The 27,869-nt window shown below is 44.8% G+C and overlaps 1 protein-coding gene and 1 long non-coding RNA gene across 56 annotated transcripts in view, besides 2 other annotated features; one reads left to right on the plus strand and one right to left on the minus strand.

Moving 5' to 3' along the window:
- The window catches only part of KCNMA1 (potassium calcium-activated channel subfamily M alpha 1), a 768,207-nt gene that overhangs the window by 479,873 nt on the left and 260,465 nt on the right, over positions 1 to 27,869 (minus strand). The window contains exon 1 of one of the 55 annotated variants that reach the window (NM_001322838.2): positions 855 to 1,287. The exons of the other annotated variants lie outside the window; for them this stretch is intronic. The gene's annotated coding sequence lies outside the window, so the exon portion shown is untranslated. Of the gene's footprint in view, positions 1 to 854; positions 1,288 to 27,869 lie in introns of those variants that run through there. 55 annotated transcript variants of the gene reach the window in all.
- Positions 800 to 1,999: an enhancer, noted in NCBI's record as "P300/CBP strongly-dependent group 1 enhancer chr10:79110032-79111231 (GRCh37/hg19 assembly coordinates)". NCBI's record gives its function as "activates an origin of replication core promoter dependent on BRD2, BRD4, P300/CBP, MED14 and CDK7 cofactors, with strong dependence on P300/CBP, by STARR-seq in HCT116 cells {active_cell/tissue: HCT116}" and the evidence as "EXISTENCE:reporter gene assay evidence [ECO:0000049][PMID:35650434]".
- On the plus strand, positions 1,398 to 27,139 carry KCNMA1-AS3 (KCNMA1 antisense RNA 3). The gene is made up of 6 exons (NR_126365.1): positions 1,398 to 1,936; positions 4,936 to 5,145; positions 5,695 to 5,754; positions 23,373 to 23,473; positions 24,223 to 24,361; positions 26,955 to 27,139. It is a non-coding gene; the product is annotated as a KCNMA1 antisense RNA 3 (long non-coding RNA).
- Positions 26,400 to 27,599: an enhancer, noted in NCBI's record as "BRD4-independent group 4 enhancer chr10:79135632-79136831 (GRCh37/hg19 assembly coordinates)". NCBI's record gives its function as "activates an origin of replication core promoter dependent on BRD2, P300/CBP, MED14 and CDK7 cofactors, and independent of BRD4, by STARR-seq in HCT116 cells {active_cell/tissue: HCT116}" and the evidence as "EXISTENCE:reporter gene assay evidence [ECO:0000049][PMID:35650434]".

Raw genomic sequence — 27,869 nt, forward strand, 5'->3', positions numbered from 1 at the left:
ATATTACTTCCATTTCTATGGTGATTATGGAAACTCAGACCCAGCAAGTGGCTCCCAACCCACTGGGTGAGTAAGCAGGGAAACTGAGGTTAGGAAATGAACTCAGTTCCTTTTCTCCCCATCATCTTTTCTCCCCTATAAGAAACTTATCAGCAGTTCTTTTGCATGTAGAGTCAATCAGAAAATCATTAGCCAAGGTCAGACAAGAAACCACAGCTTTGGTTTCTTTGATTTCAAGGTTAGAATAAGAGCAATGGAACTTTAAAGAGCATGGATGGTAGTAACTGTCTCTGAGAAGCCAGCCACTCAAACTTTCCAGGCCCAGAATCAACATTTATTTGGAAAAACTTTTTGTTGTCCATTTTTTTAAAGAGCTCTAAACTTCCAGTGAGTCTTATGTAGATCTATTTATATGCCCATTTCTTCTTTTATTTTTTGAGACAGAGTCTCGCTCTGTCACCCAGCCTGGAGTATAGTGGTACGATCTCGGCTTGGCTCACCGCAACCTCTGCCTCCCAGGCTCAAGCGATTCTCCTGCTTCAGCCTCCCGAGTAGCTGGGACTACAGGCGCCTGCCACCACACCCGGCTAATTTTTGTATTTTTAATAGAGATGGGGTTTCACCATGTTGGCCAGGCCAGTCACAAACTCCTCACCTCAGGTGATCCACCAGCCACGGCCTCCCAAAGTGCTGGGATTATAAGCATGATCCACTGTGCCCAGCCTACATGCCCATTTCATAGGCAAGAATACTGATGCATAGGGCACACCACACTTTACAGGCACAAGAATGAACAAGTCTTTAGAGGGTAACTATTTCTTGTGCAAGAATCAAATGCAACTGCTGACACTTACAGTTTTATCACTGGTGACAGCATGAGTGGCTGAGTGAGCAGGATGAATCTTGAGCCTGGGGTGTAGACCAGAGCAGGGGCTTCCAGGTGCTCACACCTCTGGAAAGCAAGAGGAACTGGAACAGTTGGAGTTCAGAATAGGCTAAAAAATCTCCTGCCAGTCTTCACAGCAGAATCTCTGAGTGGAGCACACAGCCATTTTGAAGTTGGCCTACTTGGATGCCAGGGCTCAAAAATTCTAATGTGGCCAAAGAAACCTTCAGAGAACTACAGCAAATTCAACTGATAAATTTGTTCTACTCTAGAAAAGACACTGCCAAAATTCCAGTCCCTATCTATCAGGGACCTTGGATAAGTCCCTTCCCCTGCATGCATATCATCACAGACCATCCTCATATGGGGGTGGGGAGGGTGTCTCTCTCCCCTCTTCAGCTGCCTTCCTACCTCCAGGGGTGCACCAATTCACTGTGATGACCTCACAATCATGCCTGGTGATTATGAGGACTTAGTGGGATGATGCTCTGGGCAACCACAGGGATTGCTCACCGGTGACTCAGTGGTTGACTCAAAGGCTAGAGGGTGGTTTGGGGGTGGAGGCAGAGGTCCAGTGAGCTGGGCTCCACCCTTTCTCTCCCTGCAGTCCCAACTCCATTTTTATCTGTGCTATATGTTGGAGTCTAGCCAAGATGTCATTTGAACAAAGATTCTGAAAGATCAAAGAAAAAAGTTTGAAAACCACCAGGACAATGCTTTCAGGGGACTTTATCCAAAAGACTGCAACAATGTAAAGAGATACGATTGCTTTTATTACTGTGATATGTTTAAAGTATTATAAATTTTTTAAGAGCTTTGTAAGTGACAGAAGTGAAGACATGCTCATTTTAATGTTACCAGTCAACTCTGAGAAGACTAAAGGTCAAGGGACAATGAAAATGTGACCCTTACCAACGACAGAAACTCCCAGGAAGCCACAATTAACTCAAGACCACCAGGATATTTGGGGAAGTTTATCCTTCTGGAAACCAGAATTTCTGATTTGTGGAAAATTCTATAGATATTCTCTGCCAGACTCCAGCCTATTTGGTAAGCTGGCCACAGATGATTTAGAACACAATGACCCTGATACTCACTAGAGCTCTGAGTGTGGCTGGATAAGCCCATTTCAGCAGCATGTCAGCCCCTCCCTGAACTAGGCTCTGTCACTCAGATCTCAGATCTTAGGGCAGCTGTAGTCTGCCCCTTGCTTTCTTATTACCCCAGATAACCAATGTTATCCTCTGTTTTTCCTTCCTCCCAGGGGGAAAAGAATTCAGAACCCTAGTCTGAGTATATGAATTAGACTCTGCAAATTGTTTATATGAGTCATTCTCAAAACTAGGTCTGGAGGGTCCCCAAGAGATCCACAAATTTCTTGCAATATTCATGTAACAATGTTCATCTCTTTAGATCTATTACCATTGAGTAACCCATTGATATTTAACAACAAAACAACAGCAAACACCATCCTGATAGCTTTAAAAGCAACCCTGTTCTTCTAATTGTTTCTAGTGCATGCTTTTTGAAGCTAAACTAGTAGACTGGATTGTCCTCAAGTAGACTGGCTCACCAAAGGTGTCCACAACAAGAACATTTCAAGTTCAGATTGGACAGGAATATTTATGAGGGTTTGACCAGTGCTAGACTTGCCAGACAATGTGCCTGAATAGTCTCCCTGAACTTCTCTCTTAAACACAAACAAGATCCTATGCTGGCTTTCTGGCCACACCTGTGCCAGCCACAAATGGGCTAAAACACGTGAAATGTGCTGTCCGCGTGCAGGGTTCAAATCAGATAACAAAATACACATTGACGGTTCTCTATAGAATGAAAAATATCCTACTTTCATTGCATGCTGGTGTTGGGTCAGAAAACAACAGTTTCTTATTTCTCCTGGTTAGTGGTCCTTTGGAAATCACAGAGGAAATACATGCAGAGAGTTAAGAGGACTACTTCACATCTGTTGTCCCGTGATGCTACTTAACTGAACACTACACTCATGTGCCCATTCCCGTTCCCTTTCCCCTTTATGGTAAATGTTGTCCCATATGACTTTGTGATTGATGGAAATGTTCTCTATCTGTGCTGCCCAATATGGTAGCCACTAACCACACATGGCTATTGAGTACTCAAAAGGTGGCTAATGCAAAGAGAAACTGAACCTGTAATTTCATTTAAACTTAAACAACCACTCGTGTCTAGTGGCTACCATATAAAACAGTGAACTAAGTCTAAAATTTAGGATCTTGCAGTACAGGGTGTGTGTGTGTGTGTGTGTGTGTGTGTTTGTGTGTGTGTGTTAACAAAACAAACACTGCTCCTTCTGTAGTGAGCACTGGCCTATGGCCAGGGTCTAAGGAATATGCAAAAGAAAGTGACTGGAAGTTTTAAGCTTTTAAGGTTTTATCAAAAGACATTTCTTACCACTCCCTCTGGGCAGTACTGTAGAACATCTACTAGGGAGAGGATGATATGAAGATAGAGAAGCAACAAAAGTACAGACACATTAGAGGCAAAATATAGATGCCACCTTGTAAACTGGTTGATAATTCAGAAAATGACAGCTCTCCCCGACTTAGTTGGAAAGGCAAAGGCCAAATGGGAAACATCAGTCTCTTCACGTCCATGGAAGACAATCCCCTGAATGCAAAATTAGAACTTGGTGGCTATTTCCTGATCCAGCCCCTTGTATTTTTCATGAAGCTTAAAGGAGATTAATGGGACAATCAGGATATTACAGATGAGAAGCACAGGCATTTCAAATGAGGCTGTGACAAATGGCTGGGAGGCCTTTAGAATGGGGGAAGAGAGGATGTGGAACAAGCCCTGGACTGGGAAGCTCCTCACTATGATTCACACCCTGGTCCTGCTAATGACCACCTGGCCAGGAGACCCTGGAGAGGCATCCAACCCTTCCCTGAGAGCCACTGGACAGAGGAATAGGAGCCCCATCACTGAGTGGTTGTAGGGCTCAAGAAGGATCATATTGGCAGCAAGAACTCCAGAAACTATAAAGCTCTATTTAGATGAATCACATTATTATTAAACAGTTCAATCAACATAATAATTATTAATAATAGCTAAGATTTATTCAGTGTCTGCTATTGCCAGACAATATATATGCAAAGTCTCTAGGGCTTACAGCAACCCTATAAGATATGTCTATCTATCCACATCATTCGTGCTTACTAGATGCTGTTACAAGTGTTTTCCATATATATGAAGGTATATATAATATATACATATATAATGCATAAAATTTGTAAATGAGTTAAATGAGGATTAATCCTTACAACAACCTATAATGTGGACATTACTTGTATCAATATTTTACAGATGAAACAATTGAGGCCAAAGAGATAAAGTGACAGCCACCATCATCCCAACTAAGTTGGAAGGCCAAATGACAAAAGGAAACATAAGAACGCAATTACCTGAATGACAGATTAGAACTCAGGGATTATTTCTTGATCCAGGCTTAGTCAATGGAAGAGCTGGGACATGAACGCAGGCACAGTTGGTGAACAGTAGAGCCAGGATTCAGACTCAGGCAGCCTGGCTACAGGGCCTGTTTTCTTCAACCCCATGGCATCCTGCCTCTTTTTTTGGGGGGGGGGGTGGTGGGGGTGGAGGGGTGGGGATGGAGTCTTGTTCTGTCACCCAGGCTGGAGTTCAGTGAGTGGTGCAATCTCGGCTAACTGCAACCTCCGCCTCCTGGGTTCAAGCGATTCTCCTGCCTCAGCCTCCCAAGTAGCTGGGACTACAGATGCGTGCCACCACACCCAGCTAATTTTTGTATTTTTAGTAGAGACAGGGTTTCACCATGTTGGCCATGATGGCACGATGGTCTCGATCTCTTGACCTCGTGATCTGCCTGCCTCAGCATCCCAAAGTGCTGAAAGTGACAGGGTAAGGATTTGAAACTCAGGCCTGCCTGCCTGTCTCCAACCACTCAGTCTTTTCTTCAGCCACCCTGCGTCCGTTACAATTCACACACTGTTTGTCACCACTGGCTAATGGCTTTGGATATTTCTTCCTCTTATCAGTGTGAGACATCTGGGGAGGCTCCCCTTTTTTTCACCATTTGAGGACTGAAAGTAAATTTAGCTTCCTCAGCAGAAAGAAAAGAAGCTGTTTTGGAGGTTGGGAAGAGCTTTAGAAAATGCGGCATCACGTCTGTTGCCCCATTTGAAGAAAGCAGCTCTGGAAAAGGCCTAGGACATTAGTTGCTACAAAGTTCTAGATCATTCTGTGTGGTAAGTATGCCATCATGCCCATAGCACTCTTCTCTGTCCACAAAATTCGTCATATACTAATAAAGAATGGGTGTCTTTGGACAAAGTCAAAGCAAGTTTGTCCAGAGTACTAACTAAGAAGAGACTACAGAGGGAAGCAAAAGGTAGTTCAGTGGCTGAATTATCCAAGGAAAGGCCTAGAATTTGAGTTGTCATAGACTGAGCATCAAAGATTATGTCTTGGAGCTATATAGAACCTTTACTGCCCAAAAAAGAGAGACTATGGAAACTTCAGTGCTCTGGTAAACATTTCTTTGATGCCTTACCAAAACATATGCCTTCTGAGCATTTGATATGGTTTGGCTCTGTGTCCCCACCCAAATCTCATCTTGAATTGTATTCCCATAATTCCCACGTATTGTGGGAGGGATTCCGTGGGAGATAATCTGAATCACGGGGTGGTTTCCCCCATACTGTTCTCGTGGTAGCGAATAAATCTCATGAGATCTGATGGTTTTATCAGGGGTTTCCACTTTTGCATCCTCCTCATTTTTATCTTGCTGCTGTCAGGTAAAGAAGTGCCTTTCACCTCCCACTGTGATTCTGAGGCCTCCCCAGCCATGTGGAACTGTAAGTCCAATTTAACCTCTTTTTCTTCACAGTCTCAGGTATGTCTTTATCAGCAGTGTGAAAACGGACTAATATAGCATCCGTTGTCCACTTCCTCCTTCCATCAGTCTGCAAAATTCCATTTGGGGATCCATGTGGCTTCAGGGAAATCAACTTTATCAATGTTCTCTGTTCCGTGGCAGCAGTGATGGGTTCAGGGATGGGCATGTGACCTAAGCCAGTCCAATCAGAGTGACTCTCAGGTCTTGCTGAAAGTGCCTGGAAACGATGCCATTTCCTTCCTGTTGGGCATGATGAAGGAAGCATCTAGCCCCAGGAGCTCCTTCAGTCATATTAGGGCCTAAAAGGTGCCAGCCTTTGATAAAGACACCAAAGGATATGAAAGATAGCATAAGACAGAACGGAGAGATGGAAAGAAGCCAGATCCTTGGTGATATTGTTGAGCCAACAGATCAAGTTTGGCCTTAAGTCAGCCCTAATTCTGTGCTTTTCAATTAGATAAGACAATACATGCCCTTTATTATTTAAGCCTATTTGTGTTAGGAGTTCTAGTCTTTGCAAATGAAAGCACCTAACTAATACTAATGTAGATCTCTGTGGCCATCCTTCTGGTAAAAGGAGAAGGCAGAGTCAAGGGTGACATTACATTTCCTGAAACTGGCAGCTCCATCTCATAGAAAACTCACGCATTACTCAGTGAAAAAACGACCCCCTGTACACAATATCCACGTGGGAAACTCCTACTCACTCATCAAGACCCATCTCTAATGTCCCTTCTGTCTCCTAGACTACATTTACGTAAAATTAATCACTTCCTTCTGTTTTACTTCCATAGAGGCATATTACTCATTCTTTTATGTAACTATAAACACAGAGCAATTACATACAGCTCAAGGGCAGAGAATGTCTTATTCATCCCTAAATGCATCAAACCCAGCACAAGCACATAGATGCTGGATTCTCCAGGTTGCATGGCCTTTAACAAGTTCTCTACCATTCTGACCCTGTTTTCTCTCCTGTAAAATAGGGCTAATTGTATATGTCAGAGGATTGTTGTGAAAAATATCAATAACGGAAGCTACAGGAATTTCACTAAAATGTGTTTAATTATAGTAAAATTAAATTGATACATAATTTTGTAAATCTTCAATAGTCTTTAGCTCAATATTGATAGCCAAAAATTAAGCCTGGAGGATAGAAATAACTTCTTAACTCTACAGTTGGAAAAGTGTGGGCATAGAACTTGTCTTTGCCTTCTAGATCAGGTCTGTGTTGGTAAATTAGACACCGTGTGGCCTTTCAACATCCAGGAGCAAGATGGCAGGAGAATCATGCCAACAACTGAGGTACCTTGCAGGAAATCAAACAGGAAGAAATCACCCAATGGGATCAGCTGGGCAAACATGGGTCACCCCAGGTCTGGTCCCTCAAGTCTACCCAACCAAACCATATCATAGTGGATAGCTATTATCTTTACCTGACTAGCATTCATTGCCCCTTCTGGTATGCCCTATTCCCCACTCTCAATCCCTCTGTTTTAAGAATGCGCCCACCTCCACCTTCCATCTCCAGGAGTGATATCCACCCAGGTTTGCTCAGTAAGACTATGAGACCTATCTTCCTGGCTGTGGTGATTGGTTCAGAAGCAACATGCCAACCAACCTGATCCAATGAGAGTGAGTTCTAGGACTTTTGCTGGAACTACTGTATGTCTATATATAAAAGAGAATCTATCTTTCTATTGAAAGCCAAAGGTAAGAAGCCAATATGATATGCATTTGATTCTGTTACGGAAATCCACATAAAAGAAGGCTGCCCAAGTATAAAACCAACACAGAAGAAAGCAGAGGTAAGAGATGGAAAAAGAAATGAGTGAACCAGTGACAGCAAGAGACTGAAGAACATCATTTGATTGCCTGGAATCAGCTAAGCCTGAAGAGAAGCCTAACCCTAAGCTTTTCAGTTACCCAAGCCATCAAATTCCCATCCCCATTTTTTTGGTTCTTAAGCAGCTTGAACCATAGTTGTCTCACTTGCATGCAAGAGATCCCTGAAGATACATGCAGTTCCTCAGGTGAAGATTGCCATCAGTTAACAGATCCTGGCACCCATGGACCCTGGGACAGTCATTCTGGTAGCATCCTCTGGTAGAGAATAACATAGTCAAATCTGACAGTCAGAGAGTATCTGCCAGCCTCTGCTTAGATATAGCCCACTGAAAGGGAGAGATGATTAATTTAGCCTTGATTTCAAAACCTTGTCTTGTATATTCCATTCAGCACTTTTTATCTTCCTGTATTCCCCTGGTTCCTCTCTAGCTGAATAAAGAACAATTTTTAAAGCAAACATCTTCACTGTGTATCTAGCAAAGCTTTCTGCTTCATTGGAATATGTGATTTATTTAAAAAATTAAATTTCCCATGAGACGCAATAATTTAAATTAAGAGAAAAGCTTGTCTTTCTTAAACTTCAGTTTCTACATACAAATTGATGTTTTATAGATTCCAGAAACTTTCACTGTTATGAAGATGGCTCTCAGTTTTCCTGCTGGATTCAGATTCTCTTCATGACTTAAAACAACATGAGGAGGATGAGTCACAACTGTAAGCTGGTGAAATGCAGAAAGAACCACCTAGGAATTCAAATGTCAGCTTAAGAAAGACAGAATGGCTTAAAAATCAAAGATGAGATGAAGTGGACTGGGGGTCTCGGGAACACCAAGTCACAAAATCAGCTTACAGTCAGAGGGAACTTGCAAATGATCTGATTCAAGATACAAAGAAAGGTTTTAGTTCTTGAGGACTTTTTCCAGATAAATATTTGAGCCAAAGCACAATATAAGAAAAAGATGCAAGTGGAACAGCTCCTTCAAGCAGTGGGGGATGTTAAGGAAAAGCAGGGAAAATCAGCTGAGAATCCTCCGTCCCACCCCCAAGACTCCTGCAACCTAGCTGAGAGCCACAGAACTGGTCCTCTCTCTCCGGCTGTTCTCCAACATCCCAGAGCCTTAGGTGGGGCTACACTAAGAGGAAGTCCTCCAAGGAAACTCTCAGGATTAGACCAGTCTTTTTCTGCTAGTGGTCTTTGATAAGCCTACATGGTAAAGAGTGGGATTCACTGACTTATCTGTAGTAGATATTATTAAATATGTCTCAAAGCATCTCCCCCACCTTCTCACACCCACCCATTAGAACAGGATGTTATCTACAGGCTGATACCTCCCCACTCCCTCCACCTCCCTTCTAATACATGGCACCAAGACACTGCCTAGGACCTAACAAGTGATTGGCCCCTCCTTCTCCAAGACATTCCCCTCTTCCTTTTTCTCTTTTAAGCCCAGAGGGCCTGACCCTCTAACGCCTGTCCCAGACCACTCTCTCCCTCCAGGAGCCTGCCAAGTTGAACACAAAGTCCTACCACCCCTGCCCTCAACACAGACTTCTCCAAAACAAGTCCACAAACACCATTCAGGATGATTCCTGCTAAGACCCACAGGGTGGGAGTGATAAAATTTCCAGTAACATCTACCATGATATTACTTACAATCCTAAAAGAGGAAATGTTCTGTATTACATAAAACATGTCCAAGGTCCTCCTACAAGTACGAGTGAATCCGTGCCTGGTTCTTCTTTGTCTTCGGATCCTGCCACCTCATCCCTGTCGTCATCTGTCTAAGTTTTGCTTTAGAAGCCACCCTCGGTCAAACCTTCACTCTCTTACACAATGAGCTGGGCATCCTCAGTTTCCCCTTCATGCTAAAAGTAAGCCCCATGTTTTGTGCATGTGCCCACACCATTTCCTCAAGTTCTTGCTCCTAAAGGTAACAGGGCCTGGGTAAGGCACTTCCTGCAGAGATCAAAGGAGACTCGTTCACACCCAGGAGGAGGAATATTCTTCCTGTTCTACCCCATTTAACCCTGTCCCCTCAACCCAGAGGTGTCCTCACTGTCCAGCAAGTGCTTCAGGCCTGCAGTTCTGCTGTTACCCTATTTTGAATCTCATAGGTGTGGAAGCATGTGTTGGCGGGGAGGGGCAGGAAGGTTTGTCCGCCAGGAAGAAGAAACGAGTGTGTCGGTATGTGTGTGTGAGCGCCGCAATGACAGTGCTGCCACCGCTGCTGCTGCATGTGCTGGGTCTTTGAATGTGGCATCTGTCGGGCTCAGTGAGGATGACAGATGTCTCTCTGCTTTATGAACAAACAACACAGGCCTGTGGGGTGACAAAAACAGCCTCAGCCCAACCAGAGCGGAGAGGTGCAGTTCTCTGGGAATAATCAGAAGACAGCAGCGTAGGAGTCCAGAGTCTACCACACACCTGCTCCCCTAAAAAAGCATGTTCTCATTATGAAACCTTAGAAGGCAGCTCCCACGCCAGGGACAAGTATAAGGGAGCCTGTGTGGCCTCATTCATTACCAGATGAACCACTCATTCAGGGAAGTCTTGAGGCATGTCCAGGAAATGGCGCCCCAAAGACCCAGTTAACCCACAGGGTGAGTGCCCACGGAGATGGGAGCTCTGGGGGTGACACTGTTGAGCCAGTGGATCAAGCTTCACCCTGAGTCAACCCTAATTCTGTGTTTTTCAAATAAATAAGCCAATCAATTTTCCTGTTCATTTCTGTATCCCCAGCACCTAGAACAGTGCCTGGCACACAGTAGGTGCCCAGTGGACATTCGCTGAAAGAACAAACGAATGCCAAGGCAGAAAATGGGGGTGAGAGGCAAAGATGTATAAAAAAAGAACTAAGCAGAGCAAAGCGATAAGAAGAATATTAATAATATGAACCACAAAGACAGGAAAGTCATCTGATTTCAATACACAAGAGTATAAACTCATTATGGATGCTGAATTACACTAGTGATAGTTTAAATATTTCTTGGAACTGAATATGCACATAAGAAGAGCCCATCCCAGGCTTGAATGAGTGCACATTCTTGTCTTGGAGAAAAGGAAGAAAAATATATAAAGCAATAGGTACAATACAATGCAACAGATGTTCTAGAACAAAGGCCTGGAGCTATGATTCCAGGGCAGCCTGCAAAGATCTCCCAGTGGAGCTGATGATTAGCAGGCCTTGAAGCAAGGATGGAAGCCTGGCAAGAGGCAGGTCAGTCATCACAGGCAGGGATGACAGCTTCCAAGAACTATGTCGTCTGTGAGCCCAGGGGCCAGAGAGCTGCTGGGTTTCCCAGTCTTTCCAGGCTATGGCCAAACTGATGAAGCCATCCTTGTTTCAGTCTCTGATTCCTTCAGAGAAGAAGAAAGAGTTGAGTCTAGCAGAGTCTCACTCTGCCTGGACGCCTGCTGTACCAGGAGAGCACTCCCTCCACATGCCACTCTAAACAGAAATACTCCCCGGAGCACCTGGGACGACCGGCATCCTCTGCACTTCCAAGGCCTTCACTCTTCCCAGTTTTGCTTACTTCTTCTCATCTTCCCATTCACTTCCCAGATGTGTTTCTCGGGTCTCCAAAGGGAAACTCAGGGGAGAAACTGAGTCAAGCTACTTTAAATCTCCTTTCCTACCTGGCCCTTTCCACAGCACTCAGCCCAGAAGAGGTGCTCTGGGTGAAACAAAGCAGCAGTCGGAATCTCTGCAGGCCACAGGGAGGGAGGGACGGGTAGAATCAAGGAGTGGGGCACTAGCACGGAGGCCTGAGCCTCCTCACTGCCAGGATGAGGGAGCCGCAATGATCTGGGGTACTGGCAGCTCTGGGAGCCTCTGAATAGTGACCCTGGGGCTCTCAGAAGTACTAGGTCAAGGTGTCCCGGTGGGCACAGCTGGGCTTAGTCATCAAGACATGGGTACAAACCTCAGCTCAGTCACCATCCAGCTGTTTGAGTCTGAAAGTTACTTAATCTCTCTAAGCACAGATGTTCTCATCTATGAAAGGACTATAATGCTTGTCTTGCGGGGATGTTGTTAGAATTACATGTGATGAGGTCTAAATTGCTCCTAGTACAGAATAGGCAATTGGTAACTCTTAACTACTATTAGTGTAGTATTATCATGATCGTCATCGTCATCATCATCATCATTGGGGCAGACAAATCTCAGACCAGGCCTGAGAATTCCCAACTCTGAATTCAGAGCCTTTTGCTCCAGCAACAGAAATGAGAAGGTAAGGCCTAAAGTAGAACAAGACTAGAGGAGGCCCTGAACAGTGCTGGGCGCCCAAACAGGGACTTCCTCCCAGGAGGCCTCTGTGCCACTGGCCTGGGGTCTCATCATCACCGCCAGCAACAGGGTGACTGGCTGCCCCCTGGATTTTCTGCAAGCAAAGAACAGGAGGGCAGAGCAGAAAAGCCCGGGAACTAATGAGATTCAGAGAGCTCGAAAATTAGAGGTGCACGAAAGGAGTTTCCGCCTAATTGCTCTGACACCTCCCACTCCCACTGCCGAGTCACTGCAAGGAGCAGGCGAGTGCAGGAGCAAGAGGGGATCCATAGGTCTGCTGGTCCAGGTCACTGCTCTCTCCAGGAGCACTGGCTCCAGTTGGGAGTGGCCCAGGGCCTTTCTGCGGCCTGGCAGGACAGGGTGGCCACTGCCCGTGGCTGGCCCAGAAGAGTCCACCTTGTGGGTCAAGAGCTGCCCAGGCTGATATGTGCCTTAAAAAGCGGGAACGAAAGCAAGGCAGCACACAGCAAGCCCAGGCACCTCCTCAGCCTTGCAAATGGGAGCTGGTGATATGGGCTCAGGAACTGCCATTTCTGACCCAGCCCAGACAAATGTGGCCCAATTCTCTGTTCCCTTGGAGCTGAGCCCATTTGTAGCCATGCCAGGCCCAGGGTCTCCCTCAGTGGCTGCTGGCAGTTGATAGCAGCTGTCCTTAGAGCCTCAGCTGCCTCTCCTGCGCTGTGTCCTCCCTAAGGGGCTTCCAGATCGGTTGTCTCACGCGAGGCTCCCAGCAGGCTGGAGGAGGGCAGGCTGGCAAGGCAGCCACACTGCCCCTGCATCACAGAGGAGAGGAGGGTGGCCCACTGACAGGCCAGAGGCAAACTGAGACCCTTCCGATCCATTGTCCCTTCCCTGCACCCCCAAGAACAATGACTTAGCCCCAGGACACATCCTTAAGAAGAGGGCATCCCTAAATACCACCAGCCCCCACCCCCTATCCCCCCCCACCCCCCCCACCCCACACACACACACACACGATGCTGGGATAGGCTGTGAGACAATATGGAAACAGCCAGAAAGATTTGCATTCAAATCCAGGTTGTGTCACTTCCTGCCCATATGTCTTTGGGTGCTTTATGTAACCCCTCTGAGCCTCAACTGCTCCATCCATAAAGCGGAGCATGACTGGGAGGGATAAATGGAATGGCAAGAGGAAAACACAGTGCCCAGAGGACAGCAGGCTTTCAATAAATGTGAAATGCTCTCAGCATGGCCCTGCCTGACGTCCTGCCTCAGACCCCGCCGTCCAGCTCACAGGACAAGCCACAGCCTTGTAGGACACTAGAATTGCTGCCAGTCTGCCTTCAGTTCCCTTTGTTGTTTAGGAGTCTCCCCTGGACTATCAGCTTATAAGAAGACATGTATCCATCACAAGGGCCTCTGATAAATCTCTTCACGGACCGCTTGCTTATATCAAGAGGCAGAACATTTAGAAAAGACATAGTGCCTGCTGCTGTCTGGGCCAAGCCATCCCACAAGCAGGCTGAAGTGTGAGAGAGGCAGATACATTCCCTTTCAAAATGTCTATGGTCCCCTGGTCCATGATATAATAGGAGAGATGCACAGCTGGCTTAGCTTGCGCCGTCTCCCAATGCGGACAGGCACCTGGGAGAGCCAAGATCGTTAGCCCTCCAGGCAAACCATTCAAGTCCTCGTGCTGTCAAGGTGACTTACAATATTGAGAGTAGTTTGAGATTGTTAAGAATTATTATTATTTTTTTTTTCTGAAAAATACACAGTGAGTTTCTCAACTCCAGTTTACTCCAGCTAACACCACAGCTTTACTGTTCCTCTTCCAATCAATAGTGGAATGAAATGATCCAGTTGGAATTCCAGTTCAGGCCACAGAGCTGACATCTTCTGGATTCCCACTCCTGGGGATTCTCAGACCCAAAGGCAAAATGGGCCCTGGTCATGGGAAAGTCCATGGCTTTAGATGGGCAGAATCTGCAGCCACTGAGGCTGCAGCACACAGCAGGGACCAAAGCCAGGAACAGCCAAGGACACTCAATGCCACTCCTGCCTTATGCCAGCCCTCAGGGTGAGTGCATAAGCTCTTCCCATAAAAATGGCATTTGCACCCTTAGTAACCTTTTATTCAATTCAACTTCATCTAGTCCTAGTAAATAGAATTACATTACTTCCTTGCTTAAAACACTTCCATGGTGCCTATGCAAAAATGTAAAATACTTTCTCTGGCACACAAAGCCCACATGCTCTTGCCCTCCTCTCCAGCCTCCTTCATGCCAGTCACTGGCTTGGCCATCCAATTCAGACTCCCTGGCTTCACTTCTCCTTCCTTGACTGTGCGTAGCTCTTTCTTGCTTTGTAGTGAGACATACACTCCTCCCCGTCTTTGTCCAGTTAATTCCTGCTCCCTTTTCTGGTCTCAGCTCAAATGTTGCCTCCTCAAGAAAAACTCCCCTGACTGCTTCCCAGTACAATTTATTCCCACTCCTGCCCCCTTCTCTCCTATAGTTCCCTGTTCTTTTTAAAATGGACTTGTCAATATGCATGACGATATGTTTTTGTGTTTATTGTCCTCGCTCTCTGACCATGTAAACTCTATGAAGCCAGAGAGAATATCTTATTCTCTCGACCAGTTTGCACAATGCCTGACACCTAGCAGATCCTCAACAACCTTTGTTGAATAAATGTGTCCATTTATTCAGTTCTCCAATGTCTGACTTCATTCAATCACTTATAATTAAAATGCCAATTTTTATAATCTCCATGAACCATAAATTAAGAAATCACTGTGCGGCCGGGCGCAGTGGCTCACACCTGTAATCCCAGCACTTTGGGAGGTCAAGGTGGGCGGACTACCTGAGATCAGGAGTTCAAGACCAGCCTGGCCAACATAGCAAAACCCTGTCTCTACTAAAAATACAAAAATTAGCCAGGTATGGTGGTGTGTGCCTGTAGTCTCAGCTACTTGGGAGGCTGAGGCAGGACAATCTCTTGAACCCCAGAGGCAGAGGCTGCAGTGAGCCAAGATCGTGCCACTGCACTCCAGCTTGGGTAACAGAGCAAAGCTCCATCTCAAAAAAAAGAAAGAAAAAAGAAAAGAAAAAAAGAGAAAGAAAACACTGTCTTCCAAGCTGTGACTGGAGGCTTACATTAACTCATTTATATTTGTAGTTAGTAACATCACCATTTTTAAATGAGTGAACCCTGACCCCAAGAAGCTAAGTAACCTTATAAGTCATAGAATCAGTAAGTGGCAAAACCATAATTGAAACCTCTGGCTCATAACTTCTCACTTTTCCTACCAAATGACACAAGTGGCTACAACCTGAGTGGCCAGGCCTGAATGGGTAGCCAGTCTAGAACTGCCTTGGTCCCCAGCCCCACAGCACCTGGGACAAGACCCAGAGTGGCATCCTCCTCCTCCACAGCAGAGGAGACTACTTAGGCAATGAGATGAAATTGGCACGTTTACCTGCCTCTGATTAAACAGAGTTTTTACTGGACAGCAGTTGTTGAAATAATTTGGGCTATAAATAAATAGGAACCGGGCTAGAATCTGAACCTGCTTACAAAGCTAGTCCTTTTCCATTTGAGTCATAACAAATCCAATCCACTCGGGGAAAAATTAGGAAACAAGGGGGAAAAGCTTTCAGTTTCTGTAGCATTTTAATGAAGGATTGATTGAGGTTTTATGCAGCAAGAAGGGCACAGCTGGGGAGTAATTGCCAAGAAAATTGAGGTGCAAGAGCCATTTACATAGAAGAATCAACTAAGGTTCCTCACCAGTGCTCAACTGAAAGCAGTAGCAATTGGACCAAATGACAAGCATCACAATCTCACTCTCTAGCACCCCACCCTAGGAAACAAAGCCACCTTGTCACTGTCTCCTTCAAAAGTACCACAACCCAACCCAAGACAGGCAATGGCAATTCATGTGCATCCTCCACTCCCAAGCCTTCAGCAACCTAGATACTTTGTCTGGGGACCTTCTGAAGAGGAGGCTTTAGTTGACTTCTTCAAGATCACTTACTACCATAGACGATGGCTAAAGCAGGACTGAATTCCAGATGTTATGATCCTAGAGAGTCTCTCAATCAATGGTAGAACTCTCATGCACAATCTTCTTTGGTTGGGGGCAGAGGAGGGGTAACTTGGAGCAGGTGATAGTGTGGCTCCCGACAGGCTAGCCACTTTACAAGGATTCACCTTCTGTCCCTTCACTATGTATCAGAAGCTACACTTTATGGCCACGTTTTGTTTCCTCTTTTCTTCCTCTTCCTCTTTACTGTACCTCCATCCATCCTTTTATAGTGCCGCTTTCACCTTGGTGTGTGAACTTGCCGCTGACTTCCCAAATGAGTTCTGAGAACCGATTTCCTGTGCTTTGTGCTCTGTGATGGTTCAGCCCACTCATCACACCTCTCATGGAGATCTCTGGCACTTTGGTGGGCCCTACTTAGAAACCATCTTCCTCCTTGATCCTTCACTAACAAGTTCTATAATCTTAACCTCCCAGGGTCTCAGTTATACTACCTGCAAGATGGGCAGAAGAATTCCAGCCTAGATCCCCACACAAATGTAGGAAATCCAAAGACAATAATATATAAGGGCTTGGAGAAAAGAATAAAACTCAGACTGCAGTGAGGTGAATAATTCAGTGCATCCTCCTTATGCAGCTGGAGTTAATTCCAAGGAAGCACTTTGCAAATTCTCAGGTACTATGCATGTTCTTTCTTTCTTTCTTTTTCTTTTCTTCTCTCTCTCTCTCTTTCTCTTTCTTTCTTTCTTCCTTCCTTTCTTTCTATTTTTGAGATCACGTTTCTGTCTTGTCACCCATGCTGGAGTGCAATGGCACGATCTCAGCTCACTGCCACCTCCGCCTCCCAGGTTCAAGTAATTCTCCTGTCTCAGCCCCTGGAGTAGTTGAGATTACAGGTGCCTGCCACCATGCCCAGCTAATTTTTGTATCTTTATTAGAGACAGGGTTTCACCTTGTTGACCAGGCTGGTCTCAAACTCCTGACCTTAGGTGATCCGCCCACCTCAGCCTCCCAAAGTGCTGGGATTACAGGCATGAGCCACCACGCCCGGCCACATGTGCTTTTTAACATTTTTATTATTTCATTTTTGGAGTCATTATTATTTTTGTTACACCACACAAATTGCAATAACATTAAGAGATTGAGATGATGATGGTATGAGGGTGGTGTTGGTGATGACAGTGATGATGACAGCAATGTTGCTGATGTTCCATAGTGGTAATGGTGAAGATGATGGTGATACTGGGGAGATATGATGGTGGTGGTGATGGAAGTGATGCTTACATTACAAGTCCACTCTACACACACATGTTCTTTACAAATGTGGATGAACCCTATCTCCTGCATGGAGTGGGCAGCACAGATTGTGGAGGAAGCTGTTTTCCTTCCCTGGCATCTTCTGTTCTTGGAAATCAATGAATGTCCTTCATTATTTTCCCCATAGTTCCTAAGAGGATACTTTCCTGCTTCTGAAACATTCACTATTTCTATAAAGTCAGTTTGTCTTCATTCTGTAAGCTCCTCAGCAACCCTCACTATTTGCCATGATGCTGGTCACCGGGCCTACAAGACATAGATCTTGTCTTTGAAAAGCCTGTGTTCCTAGGGAGAGAAACATCTGAAAAGTGAAAGAACATGAGAGCAAAATAGCATGCATACTGCATTAGAAGGTGCACCCTCATTCCGCACGGGTGTGTCAGGGACTGGCAGGGTCGGGGATGGCTTCCCTGGGAAGGTGCCTTTCAAGCTGGCCAGTGACTAAGGGGTCACTCATCCTCCAGGGAATGGGTGGATAGAGAGCACTCTAGGCCACAAACAAAGCAGAGAATATACACTGCTGTAGGGTATGATCTGAGGGATATGGGAGATTTCAGGGGAAAGAGCTTACTTTAAGTTTTTTGAAGTGATAAAATATTTGAATTTTATCTTGGAAGAACTATGGATCCGTTAAAGGTCTCTCAGCGTAGGAATGAAATGAGCTGAATCTGCATGTTACGATGTTTCCTCTGTAGAGCCTAACCCCCTCCACTTGTGTTCCCAAGAGCCCCAGCATCACTCAGGAGCTTATAAGAAATGCAGAGTCCCAGGCCCCATTGCTAAACCTCTTGAATAAGAATCTGCACTTTTCAAAAGTTTCATTTTCTAAATTACTATACAGTAAATTTAATTTTTTATTTTTGGTGTAAAGTTCTACGAATGTTAGTATATGTGTCAATTTGTATAGCCACCACCATAATCAAGATACAGAACAACTCTGCCCCAAAAACTATCTTGCATTATCCTTTATGATCACACCTATCACCCCTACCCACTAATAACCACTAATCTGTCCTCTGTCACTACAGTTTTACCTATCCAAGGAAGTAACATAAATGAAATTGATATAATATGTAACCTATTAACGCTGGCTTTTTTAATTGAGCAAAATGTTGTTGAGATTCATCCAAGTTGTTGCTTTTATCAATAGTTCATTCTTTTTTGCTACTGCATGTATTCATGGTAAGGATGTATCACAGTTGTTTTAGCCATTCACCCACTGAGATTCTTCCTAGTTTTGGGTAATTATGAATAGAGATGCTACAAACATGTATATGAATGTTTTTTCTGTAAACTTAAGTTTTCATTTCCCTAGGGTAAATATCTAGACATTGAATTTCTGGTAATATGCTAAGTATATGCTTAATTTTATAAGAAAACTTCTAAACTGTTTTCCTGAATAGCAACATTGTTTTGCATTCCCATTAGTAATGTCTGAGAGTTCCAGTTGCCCCCCATCCTCATCACTACTTGGTATTGTTGGTATTTTTATTTCAGCCATTATAATAGGTGTGTTCACATCTCATCATTGCTTACACTTGCATTTCCCTAATGGCTAAAGATGCTGATGTTCTTTTTCTGAGCTTATTTGCCATCCAAATATCCTCTTTGATCATGTGTCTATTCAAGTCTTTTGCCCATTTTCCAGTTGGGTAGCTTGTTCTCTTCCTGTTGAATTTTGAGAGTTCTTTATATATCCTGGCTATAAAGCCTTCTGTAATATATGTGATTTTTAAGTATTCTCTCCCATTATGTAGCTTATCTTTTCATTCTCATAATAGTATCTTTCACAGAATAATAGTTTCTAATTTTGACGTGTCTAAGTGATCCATTTTTCTTTTGTGAATCATCTTTTTGGGGTCATGTCTAACTTACCTAAGTTCAGATCAGAAAGATTTTCTCCTATGTGTTTTTATCAAAGCTTTATAGTTTTACACTTATATCTGTGATCCACTTTGAGTCAATTTTTGTATAAGACATGAAGTTTAGGTTGAGCTTTTTGTTTTGTTTTGTTTCATTTGCCCTTGGATGTCCAATTGTTCCAAGACCATTGTAGAAAAGACTCCTTCTCCATTGAATTGTCTTTGTACCTCTATCAAAGCAATTGACCATATTTGTTGTAGGTCTATTTTTGGACTCTAGTCTACTCCATTGATCTATGTGTCTATCCCTTTGCCAATATGACACTGTCTTGATTACTATAGCTTTATAGCAAGTGTTAAAATCAGGTAGGGCGATTGGTGATTTCTTCAAATATACACTTCTTTTTCAAAATTATTTTACCTATTCTAGTTGCTTTGCCTTTTCACATAAATTTTAGAAATTGGTTTGTTTATATCTGCAAACAGTCCTGCTTAGATTTTGGTTGGAGTTACATTAAATCTGTAGAGAAATCTGGGGGTGAGCTGGCACCATTACTAGGATGAGTCTTCCAGTCCATGAACATGGTATGTCTTGCCATTTCTCTAGGTCCTCAGAATCTGCATCTTAACAAGAATCCCAGGTAATTTCCCTGTACATTAGAGTCTGGGAAGCACAGCTCTAGAGTGGAAATGACAGTGAAGTCATCTGGGAGGATTTACAAAATATGGAAGCCTAGACCTCACTCAGACCAACTGAATAAGAATCTCTGAAGGGGGACCTAGGTGCTGGAATTTTTTCTATGTCTTGTAGGTGATTCTAACTGGCAGCCATGTGTGAACCTCTACTCTAAACCCAGTCTGGGCTCTTGTGGCTCTGGCCCTATGCTCATTAAATCAATCTGATTAAGGCCATCAGTTCATTCCTTTTCAACCCTAGATGTATATTGGAATCCTTTGAGGATAGAGGTTACTTCAATGAGAATTTTCAAGAAAAAATTCTAGTTGACAGATTCACCAAACTTCCTCTGAGGCCCCACCTATATTTGAGGATTACCTTTCCCTGCCCAACCCCAGGAGCTAGAACAACATTCCAGAAGTTTTAACTCTCAACTCTAAAAACCTGCTCTCTTTTTGGAAGTCTCTCTACAAGTTACTGAGGCAGGAGGAGACAGAGGAGAGAGGGAACATGTGTGCACACAAGAGAAATGTCCAATTGAATGAGTCTGATCAATAAGATCTATGACTCAAAAATACTTGCTTCATGGCAAGGGAACATCTTTTGCTTTCATATCCATCTCACATACCTGCTGAGTCAAGGAAACAGCTCCATATTTAGGAGAAAAATCCTCTTCTAATCTCTAAATGCAATCGAAGGTTTTCTATGTCTTTTTCTGTGGCTCCTTGGAAATGTTAAAGGCATGTCTCAGCTACAGCAAGGTGGGGCATGACATATTGCCCCCCAAAATATGAACCAATTGAATGTCGTCTGAAGTCAGCTCTGTTTCTGTTATCTTTTAATGGATTTTAGGTAAAGAAGTGTTGATGTAGATAAAATAGATATAAAACCAAATTCTTCTGCTTTGGATGTGCACCAACCCCAGCAGGCTAAAAATAGATTCAACTGCATCAATAATATTTCTCTTTAAAGTTGCAGGTCCTTTGGGGGTTTGGAAACATTCAGAGAGGATAAAAGGGGAGAAAGATATGAAAACAGCAGAAGCTGCAGTCTAAGCCTCCAGGTGGGGGCCTTGGGGACAGCCATGCTGGAATGCCTGATTTTTACATGTCCAAGTACCTATTTCCTACCAAAAAAAAAGCCCTTCCACATATGATAAGAACACATCTTTTCTTGCAGGGCTGTCAAGTTCATTCTAAACACCCCTGCCGCTGCCTGTTTGAGATTGATGCCTCTCCAATCTCTAGCTCTTTGTTTGAAATTAAACATCCAAAGACCTTTAGAATAAAAAAAGTCAACATACAAATGAAATGCATTTCAACATGCATCTCAACTGCAGAACCACAGCATGTTGAGACTGGACCAAGCAAACCCTGAAGAAGTTTCCCCTCTTGCTCCTCTGTGGTAGATGACCTATCCAAGTTCACACAACAGGTAACATGGAGCATGTGGAGAGACTCAGCATAGGCCAGTGCAGTAGCGGGGTCTACTGGAAAAGACTTGGCCTTTGAAGTCTCATTCCAATCCCAGCCTTGCATTGACCAACTCTGTGACCTTGACCTTGAAAAAGTAGAGTCACAGTGCCCTCTACTTCACAGGGTTGTTTGGAGAATTACTGAAAATGTGCACAAAATACCTGATACACAGTGGGGCACTCAGCTAACACCAGTCATTCCTGTAATCCAGGTCTCCCAACTTCTAGTCCAGTGCTCTTTGCACAACAACACCATATGAAGACTCTGAGCTATCCAAATAAGTGCACTTGAACCACAGGTTAAATCCCCTTCCTCTCATCAGAAATACAGGCTAGCACCGCCCAGCGTTCTTTAAAGACAGCCAGGAAAACAAACCAAATTCATACTACTTACCCAACACTGAACGAGACACGCTGGCTCCCTTTCCTTTATTTTGTTTCCCTTCTATTTGTCCTGGGTTTGTGGTTCTCGGGCAAGGTGAACTCTGCTCAGTATGATATGTGACCCCTGGCCACAGTTGCATATGGCCCTGCCTCAGTTGCTGCCTGCTCCTTACTTGATTCTCCAGGTCCACACTCCTTTCCTGTGCCATCTTCCCCTGTGGCACCTGTGTGTAGGAATCTTCAACAGCTGCACCGCCAACAGAGAAGCCACAAGCTGGAGCCCCACAAGTTTCCCCCCAGGCCCCATGCATGGGTCAGCAGTCTTGACCCCTGGGCTGATTTTAATATTTTAATTAAATTGACAACATGTAAAAAATCTGGAGATTTCACAACAATGCAGATTTCTGACTTCTTTTGACAAATTACAAACTGGCCAAATGTCCACAGCTGGCCAGAGCTGTGAGGCAGCTGCTCCCTTCATCTGGAAAGACTCTTGCTCCACTGGTCAAAGTCCCCACCGGTCCCCTCATTGCAACCTCACCATTCCCTATCAACCTCTGAGTTTTCCACCCCTGTTATGATATGCACTTCCAGTTCTCCAGCTGGACACTCAAGATGTGTCACCACATGGCCCACTGCACTTATTCAATCTCTTCTCCTGGGAACCCTGGAAAATCTCTCTGCTTCTAGGCTCTGCTGGGAGCAATTCCCCTCCTACAATGTCCTCCTTGCTCTTTTATTTATCCAACCCAATCAAGAGTATCTCTGCTTAAAAAATTCTTGCTGACCACCCAAGCCACAAAGAGCTCTCCTTTCCTTAAAGCATGGAGTCAACAGTTATCTTACCTACCTTCACATAGTTGGTTCTTCCTGTTTGCACATCCTGTTTCCCTAGCTAAATTGTAAACTTCTTGAGTTCACATTTGTTTGCCTTCCCCAGAAGGCAGCCACAGACTTTCCAAAGGGAAAGTTCTGAACAAAGATTAATTGTTTGGTCAGGAGCTATCAACCATATCATCACTCAGTGCAAGACCAGTCTCTCCAGCCTCTTTTGCCTCCACTCCACTTCCCTTGTTCCCCTCTCAAATCCACCCAAACCCCCATCCTCCTGGAATCACTCCAAAAGGACTAGAATTTGTTTCCTGTTTTGCCCACGATTGTTCCCATCGCTGCCACTCCCCAGGGCTAAACACAGAACCTGCCACATAACAAAAGCTCAGCATATGCACATTAAATGGAAAGTGCCTTACTTTTTAGTCCCTATATCTTAACATCTGCAGTTCACCAGGCTGACCATGCCCTTCTCCCTTTTCACCAACAGATCTACGGGTCTTGGAAATCCCAGTTCAGTGTTCCTCTCTCAATCTTTTTCTCTTCCTTTACTCAGCCAAGTCACTCCTCTCTCTAGGCGCCGCAGTCCTTTGCTCTTGCCTGCCACAGCCATTGCCAAATGTTGGTGCAATTGTTTGCCCACACCTGTTTTTCCCTTGGATGCCAAGGTCTTCCGGATCCAGGATTGTGTGATCTTCTTCCATGCGCTTGCCTGGTTCCCCAAGTCATAACTGGACATAATTAGTCTGGTGGAGAAGGCAAGTATTATGGCCCTCATTTTTCCAATGAGAAAATGGAAGCAAGGCACCAGGCTCCCTGCATGCAGCAGAGAGATGGAAGAGGAAGAGAGGAGCAGCTTGGGTGAGAAGACTTGGTTCTATTAGCAGGGGTCAAGCAATGGAATGGAAATGTGTCATGTCCTTTCAAGGTCATCTGTGGAGCAATGTTTAACAGCCTGCCCAAGAAATATTTAATTACCTAGAGGAAAGTAAGTACCTTTGTTGACTTGATATTTGCTACCAACTAAATAGCCAGATTATGTGAAGTTACACATTAATGTGTAGGATTTTGCCTAGTAGAAATACAAATGTTTTCTGTTCAGGAGAAAAGATAATCTCAAAGTTTATTAATTGACTCCCGTGTAGGACATTAACCAGTTTTGTTTCTAATTTAGCAATCTCATTCCAACACTCTTCCTCCAGTGCCTATGTAAACTCATGCTGCCATCTTGTTGGTTTCCTCATTAATGAGCTAAATGCATTTTTGACATGTCCACATTCTAGATTTGTATGAGTCACAATTTTAACTTTTTGAAAATTATACTTTGCCACCCAGGTGCCACCAACTCTGGGAGTGTGAGCAAGTCCCTCCCTCCCCTCTTCTGGACTCAGTTTCTTCAACAGTAACATGAGGGCGTAGGTCTGCATGGGAAATTACAAGCCCCAGGAATATTTGATTTTAAGCCTGAATCTTAAAAAGAATAATTTCCTCATAGGGTTGAACATCTTACGGAGTTATTTTCCAAAATAACAACAATAATGGGACAGTGCTTCATACCTGGGGCTAAGTATTTTAATTCTCACATAATGAGATGGGGCTATTGTTCCTAGCTCTATTACAGGTGAGGTTAGGAAAGCTGAAACAGTATTTTTTTTAACGAGGAGACACTATGTTTGTCCTTCCACTCATGTTTCCTTCCATTCTTCTTTTCACCTGTCTGGTCATCCATGTTTCCAGTCATCCATCCCACTGATGCAAAAAGAAGGTGGTTTCCATTTTCACTCTGGATCTATCTAATTGACTATTTAATTGATGTGGACTTTAGTAGAGGCAGTGATTGCTTCCAGTTGGTGGGCCCAGGAAGACTGTGAAAAAGGTACCACTTTCAGCTTGACCCTGAAGGTTCAAGCAGAATTATTTAGGGATAGGTTGAAGAAGCATCTTTGCCTGAAGGAACCATGGCAGGGACACCAGAAGACAAAGGAGGGAGACATGCACAGTGACCAGTGGGTGGTTATGGCTGTGGGAAGGGTGGATAATGGGAGATGAGATGAAAAAGATTGATTGGTCTTGGCATATGTCAATGGCTGATTGAGAATCTTAAGTTTCCTTGATCTGAAGCCCTGTCCACAATCACCCAGACTCTGAGTACTTCATGTGGTAGTAAGAGGCAGAGACAAACCCTTCCCCAGGTGCCCTGATCTGGCCAAGCCTGGGCGCTCTGACTACCAGAGTCCTGAACTCTTAGAAGGGAGAGCTGCAAACAACCATGGCGGGAATCTACTCCAGCCTCCCTTCCCGAACATGTGGGCCTGAGCTAATTTAAGCTAGTCTGAGCTCACTTTGCAAGCAGTTGTCACAAGGTGCTACATCAAAAGACTCCCAAGGCCCAAATATTTAACAACCAGAACACTCCCTCCATCCATCAGTTTGGTAATTCTATCCACACAAAAAAACTATTGGGGTTTCATTTCTGGCCTGCTCATTTCTTATAAACATGCCAGGGCCATTTACAGCTCACAACTCACTGCTCTCTAAACATTTACACATTTCTCCCTCTTAACACATCCTTGGCTATTTGATTAAGTAGTAGATCACAGGGGATGGAAGGCAAGGCCTTGGCATCTTTGGGTTTTCTCCAAACCTATCTTGACATGGGTTCAATGCCAGCCTCCCCTTCCAGTAAACACAAGGATTATTGCACTCCTGGGCACAGACTTGCTGATGCCTTGGTCTTTTCTATCCCTTCTCTTGCAGTTTCTTTAGGTAGGAGGGAATACAAACCCCAAAAACAAACAGACATGAGTCCATTTTACCAGCTGGGTTTAATGGGAAAGCTGGTAGGGTTCCCCATGACCCCTAGGACTGAATGAGTGCCCACATTTCACAACACCCTGATTCCAGACAGGAAGCTTGGAGAAGTATCTATATTTGGGGGAAGGAAGCTGCCCCAGACACAGCTTCCTGGACTGTTAGCAAAGGAATCTCACACAAGGCCTAAACCAGTTTCCATACAACTTCCTTGCCTTTTGGGAAGGTGCAATCTCACAGGACTGGTGGGACTTACCCAATGCAGTCATCCAAAAACAGTTATGGCCAACACCTAAGTGCTGAGAAAAGTCAAGAGGAAGAGGAAGCCCCAAGGGCAGAGAAAGTGGTGAAGGTCACAGAAAAGGCATGGAGCTGTGGCACCATTGGCGGGGGACAGCTAGAGTCCAGGCACAGAGCTAAAACTGGGTATGAGCAAGGGTAGGAGAGGGGACACTGCTGAACACCCACAATGGTCCTGCTCCTGTTGGCTCTGCCTTCAATCTCAAAGGCAATTATGAATAAAGGAAAGCACACTGCCTTCAGAGTCCGACCTAAGTTTGAATCCTGGCATCTTTCCCAGCTGGCCGTATTACCCCTAGGAGCTACTCAACACTTCAGAACCTCACTTTCTTCTTCAGCAAAACAGAGGTGCAGGTATATATCTCCTAGGAGTGACAAGGGAATTCACGCGGCTGTTAATGACCTGGTGCCTGCCTGGGGCTACCAAGCAGCCACCACAAGAGTCCTCCATAATAGCATCCACCGCACTGCAGTCAGGGCAACAGCACTGCAAGCACTTCATGGACAGAGACCAAGCCTTTCCAACTTGATCTGCCATGTTTCAACACAGTGCCTCAGCCATTGAGAAAATCCTGTGACAGGCACAGACCCCCTTCAAGAAGGACTTGCTGCTCAGCTCGTGAGAGGGTTGTCAGCAGCTTCTTCAGGGCTTGCTCAGTTGCAGAGAGCTACCTGGCCAGAGGTCATGCCCTTCAGGGGCAGCCCACCTCCTCTGAGTGATGGGAGTGATGGAATAAAGGCCCATGTCAGCCCATCCCAGCACTCATTCCAGCACAATGCTGGCAGGCCATCTTGGTGCTCTTGGGGCTGGCTGTGGCTGCATCCAGCCTGCATCACGACTCAACCTCTGCACAGTCCTGCTGCCTTCCCCTCCTCCCGTGGGTATGAGCCTCCAGCACACTCAACTTCGTGTCAGAGCTTACCTTCCAAGAACCCTACCTGCAATGAACTTGGTATTTGTTGATGAGTAAATGTCTGAAACAAGATCCCCAATCTTCTAAATCCAGAGTTAAAACTCAGACAGGCCACGGTCCTTGGTCATTCTAGGTCCAAGAGGCTCTTGCTGCTGGCATGGCCAAGAGATACAGGTAAGTAAAACAGTATACTGTGGTGCTATGACCACCCAGGGGGCTGCCGTGTCCCACTCAGGAAAATCAGGTACCTAGTTGGCTTCCAAAAGAGGCTGGGGAAATTTTAAGTTGAGGTTGGGCTCTGTAGACCTTCTCCACCACTAAAGCCCCCAGGTTTATCATTTCCCGGGAGAATAGGTCCTGGGGGAGAGGGGGAGATAACAATGGAACACACCAAAAGGGAACCCTGTAATGGAACAGTGCCCACTAATGTTTATTTTATCCCAGGAGTCACAGAAGGCCTGGAATGGCTGCGATGGAGATAAAGGATGAAGGGTAGTCCCCTCAGGGTGTTATCCAAAAAGTCACCTTGGAAGAGGAAGAAACTCCTACCAATATCAGAAGAGCAACAAACATTTTTTTTTCTAGAAGATAAGTGGCTAATTTCAAAATAATTATTTTATCAACTGCCACATAAGTTTTTTTTTTTTTAATTCATTAAAAAAAAAAAATGAGGCCGGGCACAGTGGCTCATGCCTGTAATCCCAGCACTTTGGGAGGCCAAGGTGGGTGGATCACCTGAGGTCAGGTATTCAAGACCAGCTTGGTCAACATGGTGAAACCCCATCTCTACTAAAAATACAAAAATTAGCCAGGAGTCGTGGCGCATGCCTGTAATCCCAGCTACTCAGGAGGCTGAGGTGGGAGAATCACTTGAACCCAAGAGGCAGAGGTTGTAGTGAGCCGAGATCGTGCCACTGCACTCCAGCCTGGGTGACAGAGCAAGATTCCCTCTCAAAATAAATAAATACATACATACATACATACATACATACATACATACATAAAAATGAAATGCTTCCCTTTTCAAATGAGGAGTGGGAACACTTAGATTACAGTGCTAAGTTCTTTTTGTCTGTGAGGTAAGGAGAAGAGCCTGCGCCTAGGTGACCTTGGCCTGGTCAGAGATGCTGGGACAGCCTGGACGTGGGAAAGAAGGGATCTACGCAGGTCTGTCCACAGCACATTCCAGGGCAGCTTCCTCCCGGGCTGCTTCTGTGCCAGAACCTGCTGGCCTCAGGAGCCCCAGCTCACCTTTCACTGACCTTCAGCCCACAGGAGAACAGCATTTCCTACCTCCCCCACCTGCTGACAAGGCCTCTCTCTTTCCCACGCCAAGGACAAAGATGACCTCTGGGGGAT

Source organism: Homo sapiens, chromosome 10 (assembly GCF_000001405.40).
Source record: "Homo sapiens chromosome 10, GRCh38.p14 Primary Assembly".
NCBI lineage: Eukaryota > Metazoa > Chordata > Mammalia > Primates > Hominidae > Homo > Homo sapiens.